This window comes from Homo sapiens, chromosome 20, assembly GCF_000001405.40.
Source record: "Homo sapiens chromosome 20, GRCh38.p14 Primary Assembly".
NCBI classification, from domain to species: domain Eukaryota; kingdom Metazoa; phylum Chordata; class Mammalia; order Primates; family Hominidae; genus Homo; species Homo sapiens.
In genome coordinates, this window is record NC_000020.11 from 18,258,554 (window position 1) to 18,281,291 (window position 22,738).

The 22,738-nt window shown below is 41.7% G+C and overlaps 2 long non-coding RNA genes and 2 pseudogenes across 3 annotated transcripts; 1 reads left to right on the top strand and 3 right to left on the bottom strand.

The window, feature by feature from the left end:
- RN7SL14P (RNA, 7SL, cytoplasmic 14, pseudogene) lies at positions 1–298 on the bottom strand (annotated as a pseudogene).
- Positions 7,139–7,326, bottom strand: RNU2-56P (RNA, U2 small nuclear 56, pseudogene; annotated as a pseudogene).
- Positions 9,474–21,518, top strand: LOC124904876 (uncharacterized). 2 transcript variants are annotated; one of them, XR_007067544.1, is made up of 3 exons: positions 9,474–9,603; positions 14,003–14,133; positions 21,254–21,518. It is a non-coding gene; the product is annotated as an uncharacterized LOC124904876 (long non-coding RNA). The 2 variants fall into 2 exon arrangements; XR_007067545.1 differs by lacking the exon at positions 21,254–21,518 and adding an exon at positions 21,024–21,237.
- Positions 12,077–12,608, bottom strand: LOC105372551 (uncharacterized). The gene is made up of 2 exons (XR_937302.3): positions 12,404–12,608; positions 12,077–12,303 (listed from the first exon to the last, which is right to left on the bottom strand). It is a non-coding gene; the product is annotated as an uncharacterized LOC105372551 (long non-coding RNA).
- Positions 21,519–22,738: the final 1,220 nt, after the last annotated feature.

A 22,738-nucleotide genomic window follows, 5' to 3' on the forward strand; every position in this document is an offset into this window, starting at 1 on the left:
AGAGATGGGGTCTTGCTATGTTGCCCAGGCTTGAGTACAGTGGCTAGTCACAGGCCCAATCCCACTCCAAACAGCAAGGGAGTTTTGACCTGCTCCGTTTCCAACCTGCACTGGTTCACCCCTCCTTAGGCAACCTGGTAGTCCCCTGTTCCCAGGAGGTCACCGTATTGATGCCGAACTTAGTGCAGACACCCAATCAGCATTGCACACTACAGCCCAGAACTCCCAGCCTCAAGCGATCCTCCTGCCTCAGGCTCCCAAGAAGCTGGGACCACAGGCATGTGCCACTGCACCCAGCAACATGTGGAATCTAAGAAAGTTGATCATAGAAGCAGAGAGAATAGTGGTTACCAGATCCTGGGGAGGGGAGGGTTGGTCAACCAGTACAAAGTTACAGTTAAGAAGAATAAGTTCTGGTGTTCTATTATACAATAGAGTGACTATAACTATTAATAATAATAATGTATTATATATTTCAAGATAGCTAGAAGAGAGGATTTTGAATGTTAACACTACAAAGAAATAATAAATGCTTAAAGTGATAAATGTGCTAATTGTGCTAATTATGCTAATATGATTATTATACAATGTACCATGTATTAAAACATCATACTGTACCCCATAAATATGTAGAATTATGTGTCAAGTATAGATAAAATAAAACTAAAAAAAATCGCTAGCTTTCATTACCTAGTTTTATTCACACATTATACTAAATCAATGCTCAAAAGTCTTGTTCATGTTCAGACAAAACAATCAAGATTTATAAGTATAGGGAAGCTTCAAGTTGAAAAAATTGATATCCAAGAAGATTCCATCTTGATTTGAACTTAGGCACATTATCAAGCATTTGAAGGGCTAGTTGTTATCCCTTCTGTTGCAGCTGAAAGCCCTGATAAATTAGTTAGGTTGACATCTTAAATTCTCATGACAAATTTTGTTTCATCTCCCTGCCCCAAAGTAAGCCATAAATCAAGCTTTACAAGGACTTAGAGGACTTTTGGCCTGGCATGGTGGCTCACACCTGTAATCCCAGCACTTTGGAAGGCCAAGGCAGGCGGATCACAAGGTCAGGAGTTCGAGACCAGCCTGGCCAACATGGTGAAACCCTGTCTCTACTAAAAATACCAAAAAAATTAGCCAGGCATGGTGGTGCACACCTGTAATCCCAGCTACTCGGGAGGCTAAGGCAGGAGAATTGCTTGAACCCAGGAGGTGGAGGTTGCAGTGAGCCAAAATTGCGCCACTGCACTCCAGCAGCCTGGGCAACAGAGCAAGACTCTGACTCAAAAAAAAAAAAAAGACTTAGAGGATTTTTTTCCCCCTAATAAGTTTCCCAAAGGGTGTGGCAGAGTCTGGAGAAACCTGCTTTTCATGTGCTCCTTGGTTCAGCTGCCTGCTCCCCTGTGGCTTTTAGCAATTTCTTCTTCTGTTTCCGCATCAGTGTAATTAGCAAAAGGCACCATATCCCTGAGGACAACACCCACAAAAATATGAGACTCTACAGCAAGTACTTGCAAAACCTAGAAAAGACACATACCCCTCCCCTAACATGCTTCAATTCCAAGACAACTCATTAATTCATAGAGTAATGTATGTGAGCAAACAGAGAAAATTATGAACTCCAAAGTGAAACCTGGCTAAAGATGTGTAATATAATAAATATATTTACATGCAAAAATAAAGATATCTACATGTGACATATATATGGATCCATATATATGGTGGGATTATTTATTTATAGTAGAATTCCCCAAACTTTCTCAGCTCATTGCACCCTGAGCATCTCAGTAATTTTTCACAGCACCTCCTAGGCCAACAAGAATACCCCAAACTTCCATTATTAGGTTCATACAACATAAGTATTTAGTAGCCACTGAAAAAATACACATAACTCCTAAAAAATTTACTTCCCCCTAAAATAAACATCCTTAAATAAGTTAAATATGAACGTGCCTACTGGGCACTCCACAACTTCTCAAATCCGGAGTCTGGTTGGAACTGACACCTTCACTGCCTGCACCACCACGGACCTTCAATGGTACTTTTTTTTTTGTCACAGCAAACACTGGAAAGTCAGCTTCGCAAATATATAATATCATTAAAAGGAAGGAGCATGGTCTAATGATGAAATGTGAAATACGTCAAGCCAGTCTCAACCTCTCCGAGGCTCAGTTTCCTCACCCTGGAAAGGTAATAAAATAAATGCATGCTTTTTTTTTTTTTTTCCTTCGGAGATGCAGTCTTGCTCTGTTGCCCAGGCTGGAGTACAGTGGGCGATCTCGGCTCACTGCAACCTCCGCCTCCTGGGTTCAAGCAATTCTCCTGCCTCAGTCTCTGGAGTAGCTAGGATTACATGTGCCCGCCACCACGCCCGGCAGATTTTTGTATTTTTAGTAGACATGGGTTTTCACCATATTGGCCAGGCTGGTCTCAAGCTCCTGATCTCTTGATCCACCCGCCTCGGCCTTCCAAAGTGCTGGGATTACAGGTGTGAGCCACCGCACCTGGCCAATGCATGCCTTCCCTACTTAACAGTTGTGAAAAATGAGTGGGATAAAGTGTAAAAAATATCTCTCAGCACTATAATGCACTATAATAATAGACACTTTTTTTTTTTTTTAAGACAGAGTTTCGCTCTTGTTGCCCAGGCTGGAGTGCAATGGCACGATCTCGGCTCACCGCAACCTCCACCTCCCGGGTTCAAGCGATTCTCCTGCCTCAGCCTCCCGAGTAGCTGGAATTACAGGCATGTACCACCATGCCCGGCTATTTTTTTTTGCATTTTTAGTAGAGACAGGGTTTCTTCATGTTGGTCAGGCTGATCTCGAACTCCCAACCTCAGGTGATCCGCCCGCCTCGGCCTCGCAAAGTGCTGGGATTACAGGCATGAGCCACTGCACCCGGCCAATAATAGACACTCTTATGTGTAGTAATAATTACTAAAAATAATAAATTGGAAATGATCACAAGACAAATGGAGTTAAGAAATTAAATACTATGTATTTTGAAAATTATCATCATCTTTAAATCTTGCTACTCAGCATGGCCCCAGGACCAGCAGCAGTGAGAGCTTGTGAGATGAGCCGAGATTGCGCCATTGCACTCCAGCCCCGGCAACAAGAGCGAAACTCCGTCTCAAAAAAAAAAAAAAAAAAAAAAAAAAAGAAATGCAGATTCTCGGGCTTCATCTCAGACTTGCTGAATCAACACCTGCATTTTAACAAGATGCCCAGGTGTTTATGTGCACATTAAACTTTAGGATGGGAGCCAAACGATAAGAACTTTTGAACACAAAGGAGGAAACAACAGACACGGGTCTACTTGATGGGGGAGGGTGGGAGGAGGGAGAGGAGCAGAAAAGATAACTATTGGGTACTGGGCTTAATACCTGGGTGATGAAATAATATGTACAACAAGCCGCCATGACACGTGTTTACCTACGTGACCTTCACATGTACCCCCAAACCTAAAATAAAAGTTAAAAAAAAATTTAGGGAACACCAGTTCAATTTATTTACATTATTTTAAATTGGATAGTTTTAGTAAACTTACTTCTTCCAATCACAATGTAGTAGAAATCAATAACATAGGGAAATCTTGGAAATATCCAAAGGTTTGGAAATTAAATGACACACTTCTAAATAACCCATAGATCAAAGAAGAAATCACGGAAATTAGAAAAATATTGAAACTGAATGAAAATTAAAACACAACATGTCAAAACAAATGGAATGCCTCTAAAATAATACTTAGAGGAATGCTTATAGCACTAAACACCTATATTTTAAAAGAAAAAGGTCTCAAATCAATTACCTATGCTTCCACTTCAGGAACCCAGAAAAAGAAGAACAAATCGAACCCACACTAAATGGAAAGAGAAACTAGTAAAGATCAGAGCAGCTGGGCACAGTGGCTCACGCCTGTAATTCCAGCACTTTGGGAGGCCGTGGCAGGCAGATCATGAGCTCAAGAGATCAAGACCATCCTGGCCAACATGGTGAAACCCCGTCTCTACTAAAAATACAAAAATTAGCTGGGCATGGTGGTACACGCCTGTAGTCCCAGCTCCTTGGGTGGCTGAGGCAGGAGAATCACTTGAGCCCTGGAGGCGGAGGTTGCAGTGAGCCGAGACTGTGCCAGAGCCAAAATCAATAAAACAGAAAATAAAAACAATAGAAAAATCAATGAAACATAAAAAGTTGGTTATTTGAAAAGTCAACAAAATTGATAACTGTTTAGCTAGACTGACAAGAAAAAGAGAATGAAGATATAAACTTCCAAAATAATCAAGATGAAGGAGGATGCATCACTGCATGCCCAACAGAAATCATAAGAATTAAAAGGAACTATTACAACTTTATGTCAATAAATTAAACAAGTTAGATGAACCAAATTCCAAGCCAGGAAACTACTAAAACTGACTCAAAATAACATAAAATCTGAATATGTTAACATCAGTTATAGTTAGTAATTTTATCCATTAGGATTAGTAATTTAAAATCTTCTCACAAGGAAATCCCAGGCCCAGATTGTTTCCCCAGAATTCGTTTGATGAAGTCCCTTGTAAATTCTATCAAACATTTAACGAAAATGAATGGGCTAGTACAATCCAACACAAATTCTATAAATAAGTATTATAGAAAGGTAAAGAACAATTTCCAACTCATTTTATTAAGCCAGTATTACCCTGACACCAAAGCTAAAGACATCATAAGAAAAGAAGACTATGGGTCAGGTGCAGTGTCTCATGCCTGTAATCACGGGATTTTGGAAGGCCAAGGTGGGTGGATCACTTGAGGCCAGAAGTTTGAAACCAATCTGGCCAACACGGCAAAACCATGTCTCATCTCTACTAAAAATCAAAAATAAAAATAAAAATAAATCAGCTGGGCGTGGTGGTACATGCCTGTAATCCCAGCTACTTGGGAGGCTGAGGCATGAGAATCATGTTGAACCTGGGAAGTGGAGGTTGCAGTGAGCTGACAGCATGCCTCTGCACTCCAGCCTGGATGACAGAGCGAGACTCTGTCTCAAAAAAAGAAAAGAAGACTGAACAAATAGCTCTCATGAACAAAGATGCAAAATCCTTAACAAAATATTAACAAATGAAACCCAAGAACATATAAAAAGAAATTGTGGTGGTTTTCACAAATAGCCACAAATACTTTGATACTGCTCCCTTTAAACTATGAATCCTAACTGTCCTCTTGATTGTGGGCTGAACTTAGTGGGTTACCTCTAATGAAAAGAATGCAGTGGAACTGGCAGTGTTAGGATCCCAAGGGTAGGTCACAAAAGGCATTGTGGCTTTCTCTTTGCTCCTTCTCTATTTTCCTTATTATCTCTGGGGAAAGCCAGCTAATGTGTAATCGGTCCACTCACACAGCCCTGCACCCTATGGAGAGGCAGACATGGCAATGAACTGAGCCTCCTGCCAACACCCAGCAAGGAACTGAAGCCTCCTGCCAAGAGCCATGTGAGTGAACCACCCTGAAATTGCATCCTCCAGGCCCAAGCAATGCATCAGACTACTGCAGCCCTGGTTGACATGGTTTTTTTCTTTTAAGCTCCTTTATTATTTTGTTGAGGTGAAATGCATATAACATAAATCAACCATTTTTTAAAAGTACCTAATTTAGTGGCATTTAGCATATTACAGTGTTATGCAACCACCACTCCTTTCAAGTTCCAAAACATTTTCATGACTCTCCTCTCAAAAGCAAAACCATGCCCATTAAACAGTCACTCCCCATTCTCCCCTCCCTCTAGCCCCTGGCAACCATCAATCTGTCTTCATGAATTTACCCATTCTGGATATTTTATATAAATAGAATTATATAATATGTGACCTTCTATGTCTGACCTTTTTCACTTAGCATACTGTTTTTGAGGCTTATCCACATTGTAGTAGGTATCAGTACTTCATTCCTTTTCATGGCTGAACAATATTCCATTGTGTGCATATGCCACATTTTGTTTATCCATTCATCAGTTGATGTACATTTGGGTTGGTTCTATCTTTTGGTTATTGTGAATAGTGCTGCTATGAACATTTGTGTACAGATATTTATGTAGCTGTGTTTAATTCTATTGGGTGTATAACTATGAGTGAAATTGTCAGATAACGTGGTAATCCCGTTTTACTTCCTGCCAAATTGACAAACTGTTTCCCACACCAGCTTCATCATTTTACATTCCCACCAGCACTATCCCAGAGTTCCAATTTCTCCACTTCCTCACCAATATTTGTTATTTTCCTTTTAATTTTTTAAAATATGGCCAGACTAGAGTCTCATTGTGGTTTTGATTTGCATTTCCCTAATGATTAATGATGTTGAGTATCTTTTCAAATGCTTATTTGCCATTTGTATATCTTCTTCCAAGAAATATCCTTTGCTTAGTTTTGAATTGGGTTGTTTATTACGATGTTGAGTTTTAGGAGTTCTCCGTGTATTTTGGATATTAATTCCATATCAAATATGTAATTTAGGTCAGGCATGGTGGCTCACGCCTATAATCCCAGCACTTTGGGAGGCCGAGGGAGGCGGATCACTTGAGGCCTGGAGTTAGACACCAGCCTGGCCAACATGGTGAAACCCTGTCTCTACTAAAAATATAAAAATTAGTTGGGCATGGTGTCACACACCTGTAATCCCAGCCACCCAGGAGGCTGAGGCAGGAGAATCGCTTGAACCTGGGAGACAGAGGTTGCAGTGACCTAAGATCGTGCCACTGCACTCCAGCCTGCTCGACAGAGTGAGACCCCATCTCAAAAAAAAAAAAAAAAAGTCTGTATCTGACACTGGCACATAAAGTGGAAAGCAAGAGTGAAAAATTATGCTGAAAACTGGGGAGATCGAATTAAAATTCTACGTATGGAATCCCCCTGAGAGCTCAGTCCTCTTTCTACGCCCTTGTGAAGGAACAGTGCACATCCTCATTTATTGCCAGGTAGAGAAAAAAAGTGCAGACAAACCAGAGAATTCTTCTCTAACAAAAAGTTGAGTGAGCGGCTGGAGAAAGCCAAGGCTTCTCACATATCGTTCCCTGCAGCAGAGCTCTCTCATGTGATCACCCCCAGCATCTGCAGCCTGTAGCCTCTAGATTGAAATCTTTTTTTTTAAATATCCCCCGAGGGTTGAACATTCCTGGAGGTACTCAATACCAGGTCCATGTGTGGAGTGGATGGAGCAAGCTCCTATTCCATCTCCCTGCTCAAAAAATCCATTTACTATATTGTCCTCAGATAAAGGACATATCAGCATATTAAACTGGTAAGAACAGATTCTACACTTGAACTTAACCAAAAGGCCAAGAAGCGATCTAGAGTGAAATCTTATCTGTAAGCCCTGGACAAACCCCCTTCTTCCACCTATCCCCAGGAAACAGGCCTTCCTACACAGAAGGATAGGAAATCCACACAAATCACAGAATCCTTTCCATAACAGACAGGGAGGACCGACCAGACATATGATGAAACCAGCAGTGTGGAAGAGAAGTCAAAGGAAACAAACAGGAAAACTGATGCAGGTTGAATATCCCTTATCAGAAATGCATGGGACCAGAAGTGCTTTGGATTCAGATTTTTTTGAGTTTTGGAATATTGCATATACATCATGAGATATCTTGGAGATCAAACCCAAGCCTAAACATAAAATTCACTTATGTTTCAGACACACCTTATACATATAGCCTGAAGGTAATTTTATACAATATTTTAATAACTTTTGCATAAAATTAAGTTTGTGTGCATTGAACCATCAGAAGCAAAGATGCCACTCTCTCAGCCACCCATGTGGACAATCTGTGGTTCCCTGGCATCACCATCATTCCTGACTGTGAATGTCTATGTTCTCAACAAGCAATCATTTTCTTACACTTACATTGTGACCTATCACATGTAATGTGATCCATCATGTGACCCATCACATGTAATGATTGCTGAGGCAGCAAAATCATTCTCCTCCCTCAGCCTCCCGAGTATTTGGGATTACAGGCACCTGCCACCATGCCCGGCTAATTTTTGTAATTTTAGTAGTGAGGGGGTTTCACCGTGTTGGCCAGGCTGGTCTCAAGCTCCTGATCTCTTGATCCACCCGCCTCGGCCTTCCAAAGTGCTGGGATTACAGGTGTGAGCCACCGCACCTGGCCAATGCATGCCTTCCCTACTTAACAGTTGTGAAAAATGAGTGGGATAAAGTGTAAAAAATATCTCTCAGCACTATAAGTGATCTCATTGTGCTATGTTAGTATTTTTGAGTGCCTATTAAAAGGCCTAATTAAAAATATTAAAGTAATTATATTCTTTATCCCTTAGTTTCTTTTTCTATGTAATGACTATTAGGGCAGAATATCTTCCTCAGGGCATGATAAAAGATAAAAGATAGATAACAATGCAAGATATAAAATACCCAAATAAAGGAAATTATGCTAAGTAAAATAAGCCAGGCACAGAAAGCCAAATACTGCATGACCTCACTTACATGTGGAATTTTTAGAAGTTGAACTTAAAGAAGCAGAGAATGGAATGGTGGTTGCCAGGGGCTGGGGACAGGGATGGGGAGATATTGGTCGAAGTGTATAAAGGATTTATTGTATAGCAAGGTGACTATAACTAATAATAGTGTATACTTGGAAATTGCTAAGACAGTCGATCTAAATATTCTCACAGCAAAAAATGGTAAGTATGTGAGGTGACAAATATGTTAATTAGTTTAATTTAATCATTTCACAGTGTATATATACATATATCTAAACATCACATTGTACAACATAAATATATACAATTATTATTTCTCTATTATACCTTAATAAAACTAGGGATAAATTAAAATGAAATCAAATTAAATATCCAAATAATTAGGTTTCAAGCTTCCAATTAAAGATTTCACTCTCATCTTAGAATTTTAGTTGGGGAAGCAAAAAGATGCAGCTACAAGGGTAACGTTTACACAGAGAATGGCATTTGAATGAAGCTCAGTTCCAACTGCTAGCTTACCACCCTCAGCCCCTTCCTTAACCAACGTATGTAAAGGATGCTGAGGCTGGTGTGGATTTCCTATGCTATTGTTTATTAAGATCTGTTCCCTGGGGATAGGTGGAAGAAGGGGACCCAATATAGGAGGAACCTTGACTTTCTCTGGAAAATACGCCAATTTTTGTTAGAGAAGAATATGATGTAGTGATGTATTGAGAGAGAGAGAGAGAGAGAGAGAGAGAGAGAGATGTATAATACACACAAATGTATGTAGAATCCATTGTTCTACACGATGAGAATCTATTGTTGTAATATTTGGTGTTTGACCCCTGGTTCCTAACACAGAGCTCCTTAAGGCCTTTGTAATTTCCTCAGTGATGGCGTCTGACACAGAGTTCTAAATCCCTTGGAATTTCCTGAGTGACAGGAGCATCTTTTGTTCTCAGGACCCGACGCGTGGTTTGCTCCTGGATGGCCTCATAATGGGGGCTGGTTGCCAGGGGAACCAACCTTGTGATTAGAAGGTTGAAACTTTCAGCCCCACCCCTGACCTCCAGGGAGCCGGGAGAGGCTGAAGGCTGAGTTGATCACCCGTGGCCAATGATTTAATCAGTCATGGCTAGGTAATGATGCTTCCCTAAACCCAAAGGACTGGGTTTGGGGAGCTTCCAGATAGCTGAACACTTGGGGGTTCTGGAGGGTGGTGAGCCCAGGGAGGGCAGGGAAGCTTCGTGCGCCTTCCCACACACCTCACCCCACACATCTCTTAAGCTGGCCACTCAACTGTATCCTTGCCAGAGCCTTATAATAAATGGGTGAATGCAAGTAAAGTGTTTCCCTGAGTTCTGTGAGCTGCTCTAGCAAATTAATCAAACCTAAGGAGGACGTCATGGGAGCCCCAAATCCAAATCTGAGCTGGCCAGTGGAGGTAGAGGTGACAACTTACTATGTGCAACTGGCACCTGAAGTGGGGGCAATCTTGTGGGACCAAGCCCTCCACCTGTGGGATCTGATTCTCCAGGTGAATAGTGTCAGAATTGAATTATAGGACGCCCAGCTGGAGTCCACAGAGAATTGGTTCGTGTGTGTGGGAACCCACCCCCAACCCCAGGTGTCAGAAGTGTTGTGTTGAGTGACATGTGTATCAGCGTGGAGGAAGAAACACTTTGGTTTTTCTTCTCTCTCTTGTAAGAGTCCTTGTTTTATTTATTTCCTTCACCCAGGTCTCAGTGTTCTCATCAGTAAAAAGGGATAACACGCCTCACTTCAAGGATGGTTGTGAGGAGTGAAGACAGAGCCTGGCACACGGTGGGGATTAGTTCGTGATCACTAGTCTGCTTAGTGATGAATTCAAGTTCATGCTCATGTCATTCTCTTAGGGACATACAGCACACTAGGGGAGGTTAAAGATGCTTGCACACATGCCCACAACACATCTTTGATGGTTTCACAGTGTTCTCCCCGCAGCAGTGTTCCTGAAAGTCCAGGTCATACATTGCAGTATGTGACTCTGCCACCAGAGAGGGGCCTCTATGGAGAATGACCTTCATGAGGTGCTGCCACTGTGGACCTAAGGCCGAGCGCTGGAGGCACAGGCCAGGCGGCTAAGCTCCAGGGAGAAGTCTTGGCAGAAAAATACTGGGAAATCCTAGGAGTCGAGGGCACAGTCAACGAAAGTCCCTTCCTCACGCAGTTGTCATGTGGTCCCTTTAAAGAAGCCTGAGCCTAGCCAGGCGCTGTGGCTCATGCCTGTAATCCCAGCACTTTGGGAGGCCGAGGCAGGTGGATCACCTGAGGTCAGGAGTTCGAGACCAGCCTGGCCAACATGGTGAAATCCCATCTTTACTAAAAATACAAAAAAAAATAATAATAATTACCCGGGCATGGTGGCAGGCGCCTGTAATCCCAGCTACTTGGGAGGCTGAGCGAGGAGAATCACTTGAAACCCCGGGAGTGAGCTGAAATCGCACCATTGCACTCCAGCCTGGGCAACAAGAGAGAGATTCTGTCTGAAGAAAGAAGAAGGAGAAGGAGAAGGAGAAGCAGCAGCAGCCTGAACCCCTTTGCCCTAGAATGGTCCAGAAGCATAGTGGGGATTCTGAAACCAACTAACTGTCCAGAAGCCTCAGGATTGCTCAGGTTGTTGAAGTCAAGTCTCCTAGAGTGGAAATGGACAAACAACGTGGTTTCCGTGGCCCACATTTACTTATCCTGTCTTCCATTTTCTAAGACATTAAAAATATGCATCAACCTAGACCAGTGTCCTAGGCTACGTCATGAGGCACCCTCTGAAGCAGAAGGTTTCACTGTGGAATACAGGAATGAACCTACCAGGACATAACAGGACCAGAATGTTAAAGAATAGTTGTAAGGAAAGTGCATCATTGCACCCAATTGTGACTTCCCTTAAAAAGCTGCTGGTTATAATGAAACAGACAAGACAAAGTACACCAGAGCAGATATCACTACAAACAATCAGAGCCTTGGCTGCTGTAATTGTCACGGCTCCATAATACCATCCTTTTCTAAGAAGTTGAGATCATTTGCAGTTGTGACTTCATTTAGCCATACAACAAGCCTATCCATAGGTGGGCTATTATCATTCCCACTATGCCTCATGCAATGAGGACTGCCTCAAGGTTACCTGGGAAATTGGCCATAAAGACGAGACTGGAAACTTAGTTTTCATTAAGTTTTCACTTTCATTTTTGACCAATTACAGCTTGCCACCACTGGCAAGGCTCACAAGACATTTGGAAAAATGCCATCCAAATGTGAAAATGGCAATATTAAGCCTTCGGTGCTTGAAACACTCTCCAAAAGAAGATTGTCTTATATCACTAAAGAAACTGTAGAACATCTCTGGCTAACACACATGCCAAAAGCCCTGAGGTCTTTCACGTGTCATACCATGAAAATAAAATTTTAAAAAAAGATAAGAAGAAGTAGTAAAAATGAGGAGATAAAATCAGAAACATTCCTTTTCAACAAAACAGTGCAGGTAAGGGTGAGAGCAGTTCCTTCTGGAGCCCTCTAGTAAGAGGTGTTATAATACACATGAGAGGAAATCAAAGAAAGGGAAGACATACGTTGAAATGATTTGCCTTATTAAGACATCTAATTTTAATCTCCAGTTAACTGCAATCTTCTTCATATTGAGTGTACTTTTCAGTGACAATCAAGCAATCTGAAGCAGCTGGAGTTCTTCTTGGTCAACGCATGGACCTCCAACCTTTCAGGCATTCATGATCCCACATGATTGACAGAAGTCTCCACTCTTGAGCTAAAAACATGTCAGCCTGTTGTAATATGAAGCTTCTTTCCTAAGTCAGAAAAGTTAATGACAAATGTAATCAAAACACAGTTTTAAAATAAAATTGAAAGCATCTCTCTACAGCATTGATTTTAGAGTTTGGTTTCTACCTGGCCCAGTAATGCAACGCTTTCCTAGCAGACACCTCAAGACTTCAGGGCATCTTGGGAAGTGGGATGGAGCCCTAGACCTGGCTTTGAGGGCTGGCGCTGTGCAATCACCTGGGTGACCTCACACAAACCCCAGTCCCTATGTCTAGAACCTTCATCACAAAGGAATGGGCCAAACCAGAAGACTTCTGAGGCCCCTTTCTTGAACTTTCACCTGCTTATAAGTGAATTTGCTTGATTAGACTAGACATCATATTGAGAAGCCAGAATAGAGAAAAAGGAAAAAAAAATAGACTAGAGAACATCACTGCACACTTTTTTGGCCACACCTGGAGCCAGCTTGTGTCCCCCTTTGTGACATGTGCCTCTGCATCAGCAGAGAATATCTGATTGAACTTTGCACGCCAACAGAATGTTAAAGGCCTTTTTACACTTACTACATTGCCTTGTGATTATTTTTTTCTACCTCGTCATTTCCCCAATGAGACTATGAGCATCTTGGGTCCAGGAACAGGGTCCCTCCCCTTTGAATCCCAGGGGTTCAGCTGAGCAGGACACTGTAAACCCCTGATAAATGGCTGTTAGCTGTCTACATACATTATAGCATGTTGTCACACTAATATAACAGAATGTATTTATAAATATATAAATATATTTCTTATATAAATGAATATATTTATAATTAATATATATTTTGTTTTTAAAATTAATCTAATTAGTCATAATCCAAGATAACCTTCCTGTTTCTTAAAAAAAAAAAAAGACACAGTCCTGAAAAAAATCTGTTCCCTGGCAAAAAAACCCCACAAACTTGCACATCAATTAATTATTTTTCTTCTTATTTTTCTTTTCCTGCTTCTACCCCTGCATCAATAAATTTAAGCAGGCAAGATAATGAAACCCATTCATCTTATATTTTCAGTAGAATGTTGAACTCTACGGAACTCAAAATATATAAGCAAGACTGAATTCACTTTTTTTTTTTTTTTTTTTTTTTTTGAGACAGAGTCTTGCTCTGTCACCCAGGCTGGAGTGCAGTGGCGCAATCTCGGCTCACCGCAAATTCCACCTCCCAGGTTCAAGCAGTTCTCCTGCCTCAGCCTCCTGAGTAGCTAGGATTACAGGCATGTGCCACCATGCCCAGCTAGTATTTTAGTTATTATTTTTAGTAGAGATAGGGTTTCACCATGTTGGCCAGGCTGGTCTCGAACTCCTGACCTCAGGTGATCTACCCTCCTCGGCATCCCAAAGTGCTGGGATTACAGGTGTGAGCCACCATGCCCAGCCTGAATTCATTTTTGTAACAATTTTGAACAATAAGAAGTTGGAAGATGATAAAAAACCTAATCATTTAAATATCTGATCCTTGCTGGAACCCATAAATCAATTCTAGAACTCTGGACTTTCAATTCACTGAATTAGTAATTTCTTTCTTAGTGTCTGTCTTTTTAAAGATGATCACTTTATAGTCAATAATAGCACAGATCCTTTTATTTCATTTTGTAAAGGCCCAGTTTCATTAGAAGCACAGAATGTCATGTGTACAAAAGAAGAAAACATTCTGATGAAAATTTTTATTTTTAACAATCTGTTTTCCAGCTGTCCAAACAACTAGTGGCCACCAGGGCACCCGCAGTCTCCTCCCTTGTGTCCCTGAAGCTCATCAAGAGTTGCTCAACAGCCCGCAGAACCACGTGCCTGTCTCATTGTCCTTATCTTCCCATTTCAAGGTTTGAACCAACCCTTGAGTACAGTCCTTACCGAGTCAGCCCTGAGTGCCTTAGGGAAAGAAGTGAGACCGGGCATATCCCCTGGGAGGGGAAACATGTTGCAGCACATCATGACAAAAATATCAAGACAGAAGTTTATAAAATGTGCTAGGAAAATCGAAGGAAGAGGGTGGGGGTGGGAAAACTTCAGAGAAGCAGCGACAACTTGTGCTGGACCTGAAGGATGAATAAGAGCTGCCAGAGGGGACGGGCGCGGTGGCTCACATCTGTAATCTCAGCATTATGGGAGGCTGAGGTGGGAGGAATGCTTGAGCCCAGCAGGTTGAGACTGCAGTGAGCCACGACTGAGCTACTGTACTCCATCCTGGCCAAAAGAGAGAGCCCTGTGTCATAAATAAATGAATAAATAAATAAATTTTTAAAAAAATGTTTGCCAGAGGAAGAACGTGGTGGTATTCAATCCATGAAGTACAGGAGGCTTGATGCCCATCATTTTGAGGGAATTCTAAAATTTTAAGTAGTGAAAAGTGGCAGGGAATACCGTGGGATAGGGAGGAGAAACAGAAAGGAGAGCAGTGAATAGTGGTTAAAACTAGTGGCAGGTTGGGGTAGACTGGAACAGAGTGGAGATTTGATCCTGAAGGCAGTAGGAAGCCACTAGAGGTTTATAAGCAGTGCGGGTAAATGGTCCCAGTTCTGTTCAGATAACAGGGGAGCAGAAAATTGAAAAGAGGTGAGGAGACTTGGGAATGGCTAAAACACTAGCTGAGAAGCCACTGCATTAGTCCCAGGGAGAAATGACGAGGGCCCAAGACTTCATCCAATGCTGAGGCAATGGGAACAGAGAGATCCCGACAGATGTCCACATGCAGAGCACGCAGCAGGTGGTGGAGACTGATGTGTGTCAGGTGAAGGGAAAGGAACTCTAAGAAGGTACTTAATCATTTGTGAAACTGAGAGAAGAGTCAGGAAGTCAATGGAGATGTGGGGACTACAGGAGGAGAAAGAGGTTTGGGAGGGAAAGGACGGGATGAGTTTGAGGCATGCTCAGCTTAAAGTGCCTAATGGTCAGTCTAGCAGAGATGTCTGCCTAGCATTAGAGAATGGATCTGGAGCTCCAGAAAACTGATATGGGATGGATCTTGTATTCTCTCACACAAGAAGACAAAGTTCAATTTTGATTCAAGAGATCACAGAACCATTGTAATTGCAAAACAATGGAGCAATACTCCTTCTATTGATGGATAAAAGCAGGAAAGCTAATCTGGCAGCTGAAAAAGATGGCCCAGTGCCAGGTCAGACTGAGACATTTTTTGGTTTTGTTTTAGGGGTTCTTTGTGTTTTGGAGGGAATTGCAATTTTATTTCCTTGTTTGTTGTGGTCATCTAGATATTAACTGTCTCCTCCCCCTCCCAAGGATGTACTCAATTCCTAGGATCTGGTATAGACTTACTAATCACTGGTATGCATCTTTTTGTCTGCCTGGAGGCGACAAGATTGTGTTTTGTCACACTGGTTACAAGGCGAAAGGGTAAAAAGAAGGCAATTAAAAATAAAGTTATAATATAAATTGTACTGCTTCTCTCTTTGAAGGACTTCATTAGACCTATTAGGAGAGCTGTTTGATATGGTTGAGCAGGGTGTGCACTGAATATTTGTAGAAATGAATATTTATTATAAAAAATTTCAGGTAGATGGCAGAAAAATACCTTAAGGAAGGGGGCATCTTTTTCTAATTTGCACAAAGATACTGTCTGGGCTACTAGAAACTCTCCCTGCTGAAGATGGTTGGCTGCTATGAAACATAACAGCAGTAACATACAGTCATGTGTCGCTTAATGACGGGGAAACATTCTGAGAAAAGTATCGTTAGGCAACTTTATTGTGCGAACATCATAGAGTGACTTACACAAACCTAGATGGCATCATAGAGTGACTTACACAAACCTAGATGGCATAGCCTACTACACACCCAGGCTGTATGGTAGAGCCTATTGCTCCTAGGCTACAAACCTGTACAGCCTGTTACTATACTGAAAACTGTAGGCAACTGTAACATAATGCTAAGTAGTTGTTTGTCTAAACATATCTAAACACAGCATTCATGTTTCTAAACATATCTAAACATAGAAAAGGTAGAGTGAATGTGCAGTATTTGTAATCGTATGGGACCACCGTCATATATGCAGTCAGGAAATGTCATTATGTGGTACATGACTGTATATTCATTTCACCCAGGAATTAGAAGGCTGAAAGGAAACACAATCCATTTTCCAGTTGCTGGAACCACACTAAGAATATCAGCCTGGAATTCAGTCTTTAGCCAGTTTGAATTGTGAACAAATACAATTCAAGATATAATAATCAGGCTTAAAATCTTGTTGTAGTCAAGTGCAATGCTCTTCTACCAAAAGAGAATGTGTAGCATCTCCAGTTTCTGCTTATATCTTGTGGAACTGGAAAAGAAAGCCAGAAGATATCCTGACTTACTCAGTTTTTTGCTAGGATTCATACATCAATTCCTTAAGTGGAAGATGTTCTCTTACATGAATGTGTAGCATCAAGAACATCACAAGTAAGATTTTAATGTGGTTATAATTCATTCCAAAGAGAGAAATACTACTCAAATCCATTACATCTGAACTTGTTTGTTTGCTTTTTAATGTATTTATTGTCTGCTGTAAGCTCCTGAGAAGACAGAGGCTCTATCTCATTTATTGCCAAATCCTTGTTCCTAGAACAGTAGAATAGCAGATGCTCAACAAACCTTTCTCTTGTTCTGGCTAAGCAAATTTATTTAGCCTTTTAACCCAAGATTTAAAAGGATTTAGTCAGAATGAAAAGAAATCAGGAACGGGACCAATTTAAGGTTATACTGATAATCACATCGGTAAGTATGGTGAAAATTTACTGAGCAATTACTGTGTGCGAGGCCACTGTTCTGATGGCTTAAATATGTGGACCCATTGAATCCCCACATGACCCACAGAACCTCATGCAGGTTAAGAAATTTCCGCCAGTTCAGCCAGAGGGTGAGTGGCAGAGCTTGCATTGAAACTTGGGCAGCCTCACTCTACAGCCTGTGCTGTTGCCCATAACAGGCGCTTTAGCTGCTGCGTTTGCCTGAATGCTAATAGCCTTCCACTCCCTTTATTACCTTGAGACTGAGCAGTGTGGACAAATGCAGGTAGCTTTCTTGTCCTTCTTTCAAGAATGTTGGGCCAGGCGCGGTGTCTCACGCCTGTAATCCCAACACTTTGGGAGGTCGAGGTGGGTGGATCACCTGAGGTCAGGAGTTTAAGAACAGCCTGGCCAACATGGCGAAACCCCGTCTCTACTGAAAATACAAAAATTAGCCGGGCATGATGGTGGGCGCCTGTAATCCCAGCTACTTGGAAGGTGGAGGCAGAAGAATCACTTGAACCTGGGAGGCAGAAGTTGCAGTGAGCGGAGATTGCGCCACTGCACTCCAGCCTGGCCGACAGAGGGAGACTCTCTGTCTCAGGAAAAGAAAGAAAGAAAGAAAGAATGTTGTACCTGTACATTTAACTTGTTCAACAGTCATTTTCCCAATTACTCCATTTTGCTAGTGGCAAAACTCCTGATAAGCAGATGTTCTGTCCCTGGGCAGTTTCCTTTGGAAACTACTTGGTGTATGGAAGCTTCACACCCTTAGTTAGCTCAAATATGGCTCCATGCATGCATTTCGAGGCCTGAGGATCCATTTCAGCCCACCATTTTGAAAATGCTCATACAATATTAGCTTCAATGGGGACAAGGGCTTTGTTTGGTTGACGCTATAAACAAACAGTAGTTGGCACCAAGTAGACCCTCGGAAAATATGGAATGAATGAATGAAGCCATGCCCTGAGAGCCCTGAGACAATACGTGACACGTCCATACCCCACCCCCTCCAGTCAACAAGAACGAGAATGGCTATATTACTTATCTGCATTTTATTTTAGAGCAGTAACTGACTATGGAATTACAATAGTGTCTTTTTTCCATCTTCTTCAATTATATCCATAGTTAAAATATAATTAAAATTTCAACCTCACAAGATTTGGAAAGATGCAAAGTCAGTGGCTTCCTCTGAGGCCTTAGCTACCCCTTGTCCAGGGAAAATGCTGGCCTCTGGACAACTGAATCCTGACGAGAACACTTGCGCCGGTCCTCTACCTGAATTGCCAAAAGGGCCCGCAGGGAAAGGAAGGAATCACCATGTTTAGGGCGCCCTCTTCTGTTCAAAGGGCTGAAGCCCGTGGAGCCAGGGCAAGGCTTTCAGCGGATGAGCATCTTGGAGCAAACGTCAGAGAACCACATACTTTCATTCCTGGAAAGGGCTTTAGAGATGACTAGTTCAAACTACACATTACACATGGGAAACTGAGGCCCAAAGGGGTCAAATGCCTCATCCACGGTCACACAATTGGTTAAATCTCGAAAGAGGAAGAAACCGGACTCCCTGGCCCAGACCCCTCAGTAACAAGAGGAAAATGAACTCGTAACTCCAGTCTCTTATGCCTTTGTAAAAATCAAGAAAAATTAATCACAAATCTATAGTGCCAATTTCTTACGATTTATACCTTCAACTTCCTGTAATGTCACTATTCACATTTTCAATACGTTAACAAAGGTTCCCCAAGCATAGATTTCCTTAAGAATCAAAGAGAGACTTGCCTCTATTTTTTTTTTTTTTTTTTTTTTTTTTTGAGACGGCGTCTTGCTCTGTCACCCAGGCTGGAGTGCAATGGCATGATCTCAGCTCACTGCAACCTCAGCCTCCCGGGTTCAAGCCATTCTCCTGCCTCAGCCTCCCGAGTAGCTGGGACTACAGGCACCCGCCACCAGGCCCAGCTAATTTTTATACTTTTAATAGAGACAGGGTTTCACCATGTTGGCCAGGATGATCTCGATCTCTTGACCTTGTGATCCGCCCGCCTTGGCCTCCCAAAGTGCTGAGATTACAGGCGTGAGCCACTGCGCCCAGCCGACTTGCCTCTATTTAGTCCAGCCATTCCTTTCATTATTTTTCTCCACAGGCCTCATATTTGAAGGTTTTTAGTCTACCAAGCAAGCCACACTTTTAGAGTAAAAATGCATTTTCTCATTTAAAAAAGTACAGAAACAATGACCATGTATGAGACGTTACGCTACTGATATTATCAAATGAAATTTAAAATGTGAAATGCTTGAAACAGTGATTGATACATTATAAATATGCCAGAGATGTTCGCTATTATAATTCTACAATAACAATCAACAGTAGAAAGAAAAAAAGTACTTTTGTTAGTCTGTGCAGCCCTATGCAAGATTAATGTATCATTTCAATTTGATATTTTGAAATACTAAAAATAATAGTGGAGTTCAAAGGTAATTCTGGGGATACCTGGAAGCCAAAGATCCCTAGGTTGGGGCCAACTGCTGTAACCCATTAATCTCCCAGCCTGGGGTGGGGGGCTTACTCTGCCCTTACATGGGATTGTGATGCTCTCTCATCTAGTGCGTTGATGTGGGTGCCTTTGTATGAAGGGTGTGTCCTTGGCAGTCCTTCAAGCCTTCTTGCTACTCCACTAAAACAAACATATCCTATAAACAAATTCTTACAGATAGATAGCTGGAGCCTAATAAGGATGTGTTGAATGTTTGCAACTCTTTGCTAAGACCACAGGCTTCTAAAAGGAAAAGAAAAAAAAAAGCTAATTCCATTTATGTGATGTTCTAGAACAGGAATCACTAATTTGGTGACTGCCTTTGAGGCAACAGAATTGAGTTTGACTGGGAAGGGGCATGAGGAAACCTTCCAGAATGGCGGGGATATTCTCATCTCGAGAAGGGTTTGGGTTTTATGGGTGTCTGCATTTGTCAAGATTCATCGAATAGTACACTTAAGATCTGTGCATTTTGTTGTATGTTTTAAATTTAAAAAAAAAAACCATTGACAAATACTGAACTCTAATGACATGTATGCTGAACGATTTAGGGGTGAACTGATGTCTGCAACTTTGAAATGCATCAAAAAAGTGGATGAACTGATGGATGGATAGAGGGATGACAGAAAATATAACAAAAGATATATAGTAAAAAATAACTATGGCGGGCATCTGGATATTCACTGTATGATTCTCTCAACTTTTTTTTTTTTTTTTTTTTTTTGAGACAGAGTCTCACTCTGTCACCCAGGCTGGAGTGCAGTGGCACGATATTGGCTCACTGCAACCTCCGCCTCCCGGGTTCAAGCGATTCTCCTGCCTCAGCCTCGCGAGTAACTGGGATTACAGGCGCCCACCACCACGCATGGCTAATTTTTGTATATTTAGTAGAGACAGGGTTTCACCATTTTGGCCAGGCTAGTCTTGAACTCCTGAACTTGTGATCCACCCGCCTCAGCCTCCCAAAGTGCTAGGATTACAGGCGTGAGCCACCACGCCCGGCCATTCTCTCAACTTTTATATTAGAAAATTGTCACGATATGTTGGAATGAAAACAATTAAGGTAGATGTAATCATTTATTACCTTTAAACATGTTATGCCAACTTATTCAATGTTCAAGCTTCTGCTTTGTAAAAGGACATTTTTAACAGTTCTAACCAAAGAAGGCTGCAGAGTGGAAAGCTAATACCTTGGTGGTACTCTTCTCCACCAACATGGCTGGATGGTAATTACCTGTGACACATCCTTCCCTTTAGACTCTGTGCTGCTGGAGGGCAGGGAGCATGAGGCATTCATTTCATGAGCCATGTGTTTGTGGTGGGCACTTAATTAAGATGTGGTAAGAGCAGAGTTTCTGAGTCAGAAGGGTTCAGATTTGAGTTCTGCAACTTACTGGCTGCATGACCTTAGGCAACGTACTCACTAACACAGAGCTTCCATGTCCTGTCCGTAAAAAGGAAGTCATCTCCATTTGGCTGTCTGGAGGGCTCAGTGAGGTGATGTGACTAAAGCACAGTATCTGGCTCCTGAAAAGAACTTCAAAAATAGTAGCCTGTGCCTGAGACTGAGGCAGACCTGGATCTTTGGGCCCTAACAGAACTACTGGAGGACAAATTCCCAAAGGAATCACTAAATGATGGCTATTTCATTTCATCAAGACTGAGGTATCATGTCAACCCATTTCTAGGACAAAACTTCAGCTGCTGTCTTGGTCTGCTTTATCCACACCTGACCTGTCACTTACAATGTACATTCTGAGGACCAACATCTCCAAACATTGTCCTGGGGCAGGAGCATCCTCCTTACTAGAAAGCTCAGGGCCTCTGAATCAGAATCTGCATCACAACAAGATCCCCAGAATACTGAAGTTTGAGAAGCTCTGGTCTACATTAGATGGTTTTCTAATGGCTCCCTGTTGCCACTGATAATAAAGCTCTCTTGTCTTTACCAGAGCTACAAGTCATCCCTGACTCTCTTCGTCTTCCTTATTGCCCTTAATTTCTTCATTCTTTAGGATCTGCCCTCAGTGCTACTGGTTTTATTGTCATTAAAAAATATTAACGCAATGCTCAGACTTCCTCAATTATGAATATGGTAAAAAAAATTAACTTATGGACAATCTATTCTAAAAATACTAAATATATGGACACGTGGATGCAGCACTGTAGTCCTCCTTATTCACAGTTCCACTTTCTGAGGTTTCAGTTACCCAGGGGCAACCACGGTCTGAAAATAGGCGAGTACAGTACGATAAGATATTTCGGGAGACCACATCCACGCAACTTTTGTTACAGTATATTGTTATAGTTGTTCTACTTTATTATTAGTTATGAATCTCTTACTGTGCCTAATTTATAAATTAAACCATATCTTCAGTTTTTTTGTATAGCAAAAAACATATGTACAGTATGTGGGATTTGGTACTATCCAAGGTTTCAGGCAACCAGTCTTGAATGTAACCCCCCATGGATGGCAGGGGAGGGGAACTACCATATTTAAATTTTTAAAAATTGATAAGGTTTCTTTTCTCAGCTGGTAGGTTTTGTGTTGTTATGATTTTATAAGCTCAGCCACATGCAAAATCGAGTCAAGACACCTTGGCCAGGCAGGTGAGGAAGCTTATGTAGCCCCAACCTTGCCTTCTGCCACTCTGCACCCCATATTCCCTTCTCCAAGCTCTCACAGCTCTCTGCACCTCTGAATAGCTCTGGTGACACTAGGATCAGTGATTTGCCTGTCCTTCTCTCACTGCTACCTGAATACTGTATTTTCTTTCATAAAATAGCATCCTACCTGAATGCCTAGTGCTGACTGGAAAATATGGAGGGAGTGTTGGCATTGGAAATTACAGCTTTGTAACTATTAGGGTAAAAACTAGTCTAGGCAAGAATCATTAATGGATGCACAGTCTTAAATTGTCTCCTCAGAGATGGTCTTAGAAACGAAAAAAATAGTAACTGTACAAGGCAGAAATCAGGCACTACCAAATGTGATATCCCTCACACAACCCCCAAATAAAACATTCAGCTACCAAAAAGGAGGACCCTGTTCTTAAAAGACAGAAAAACAAACCCTAAGAAAAATATTCCAGGTTAAAGGATACTAGAATCATGACAACTAAACCTAATCCTAGGCTGGATCCCATACTAGAACGCAAAAAAAAAAAAAAGTT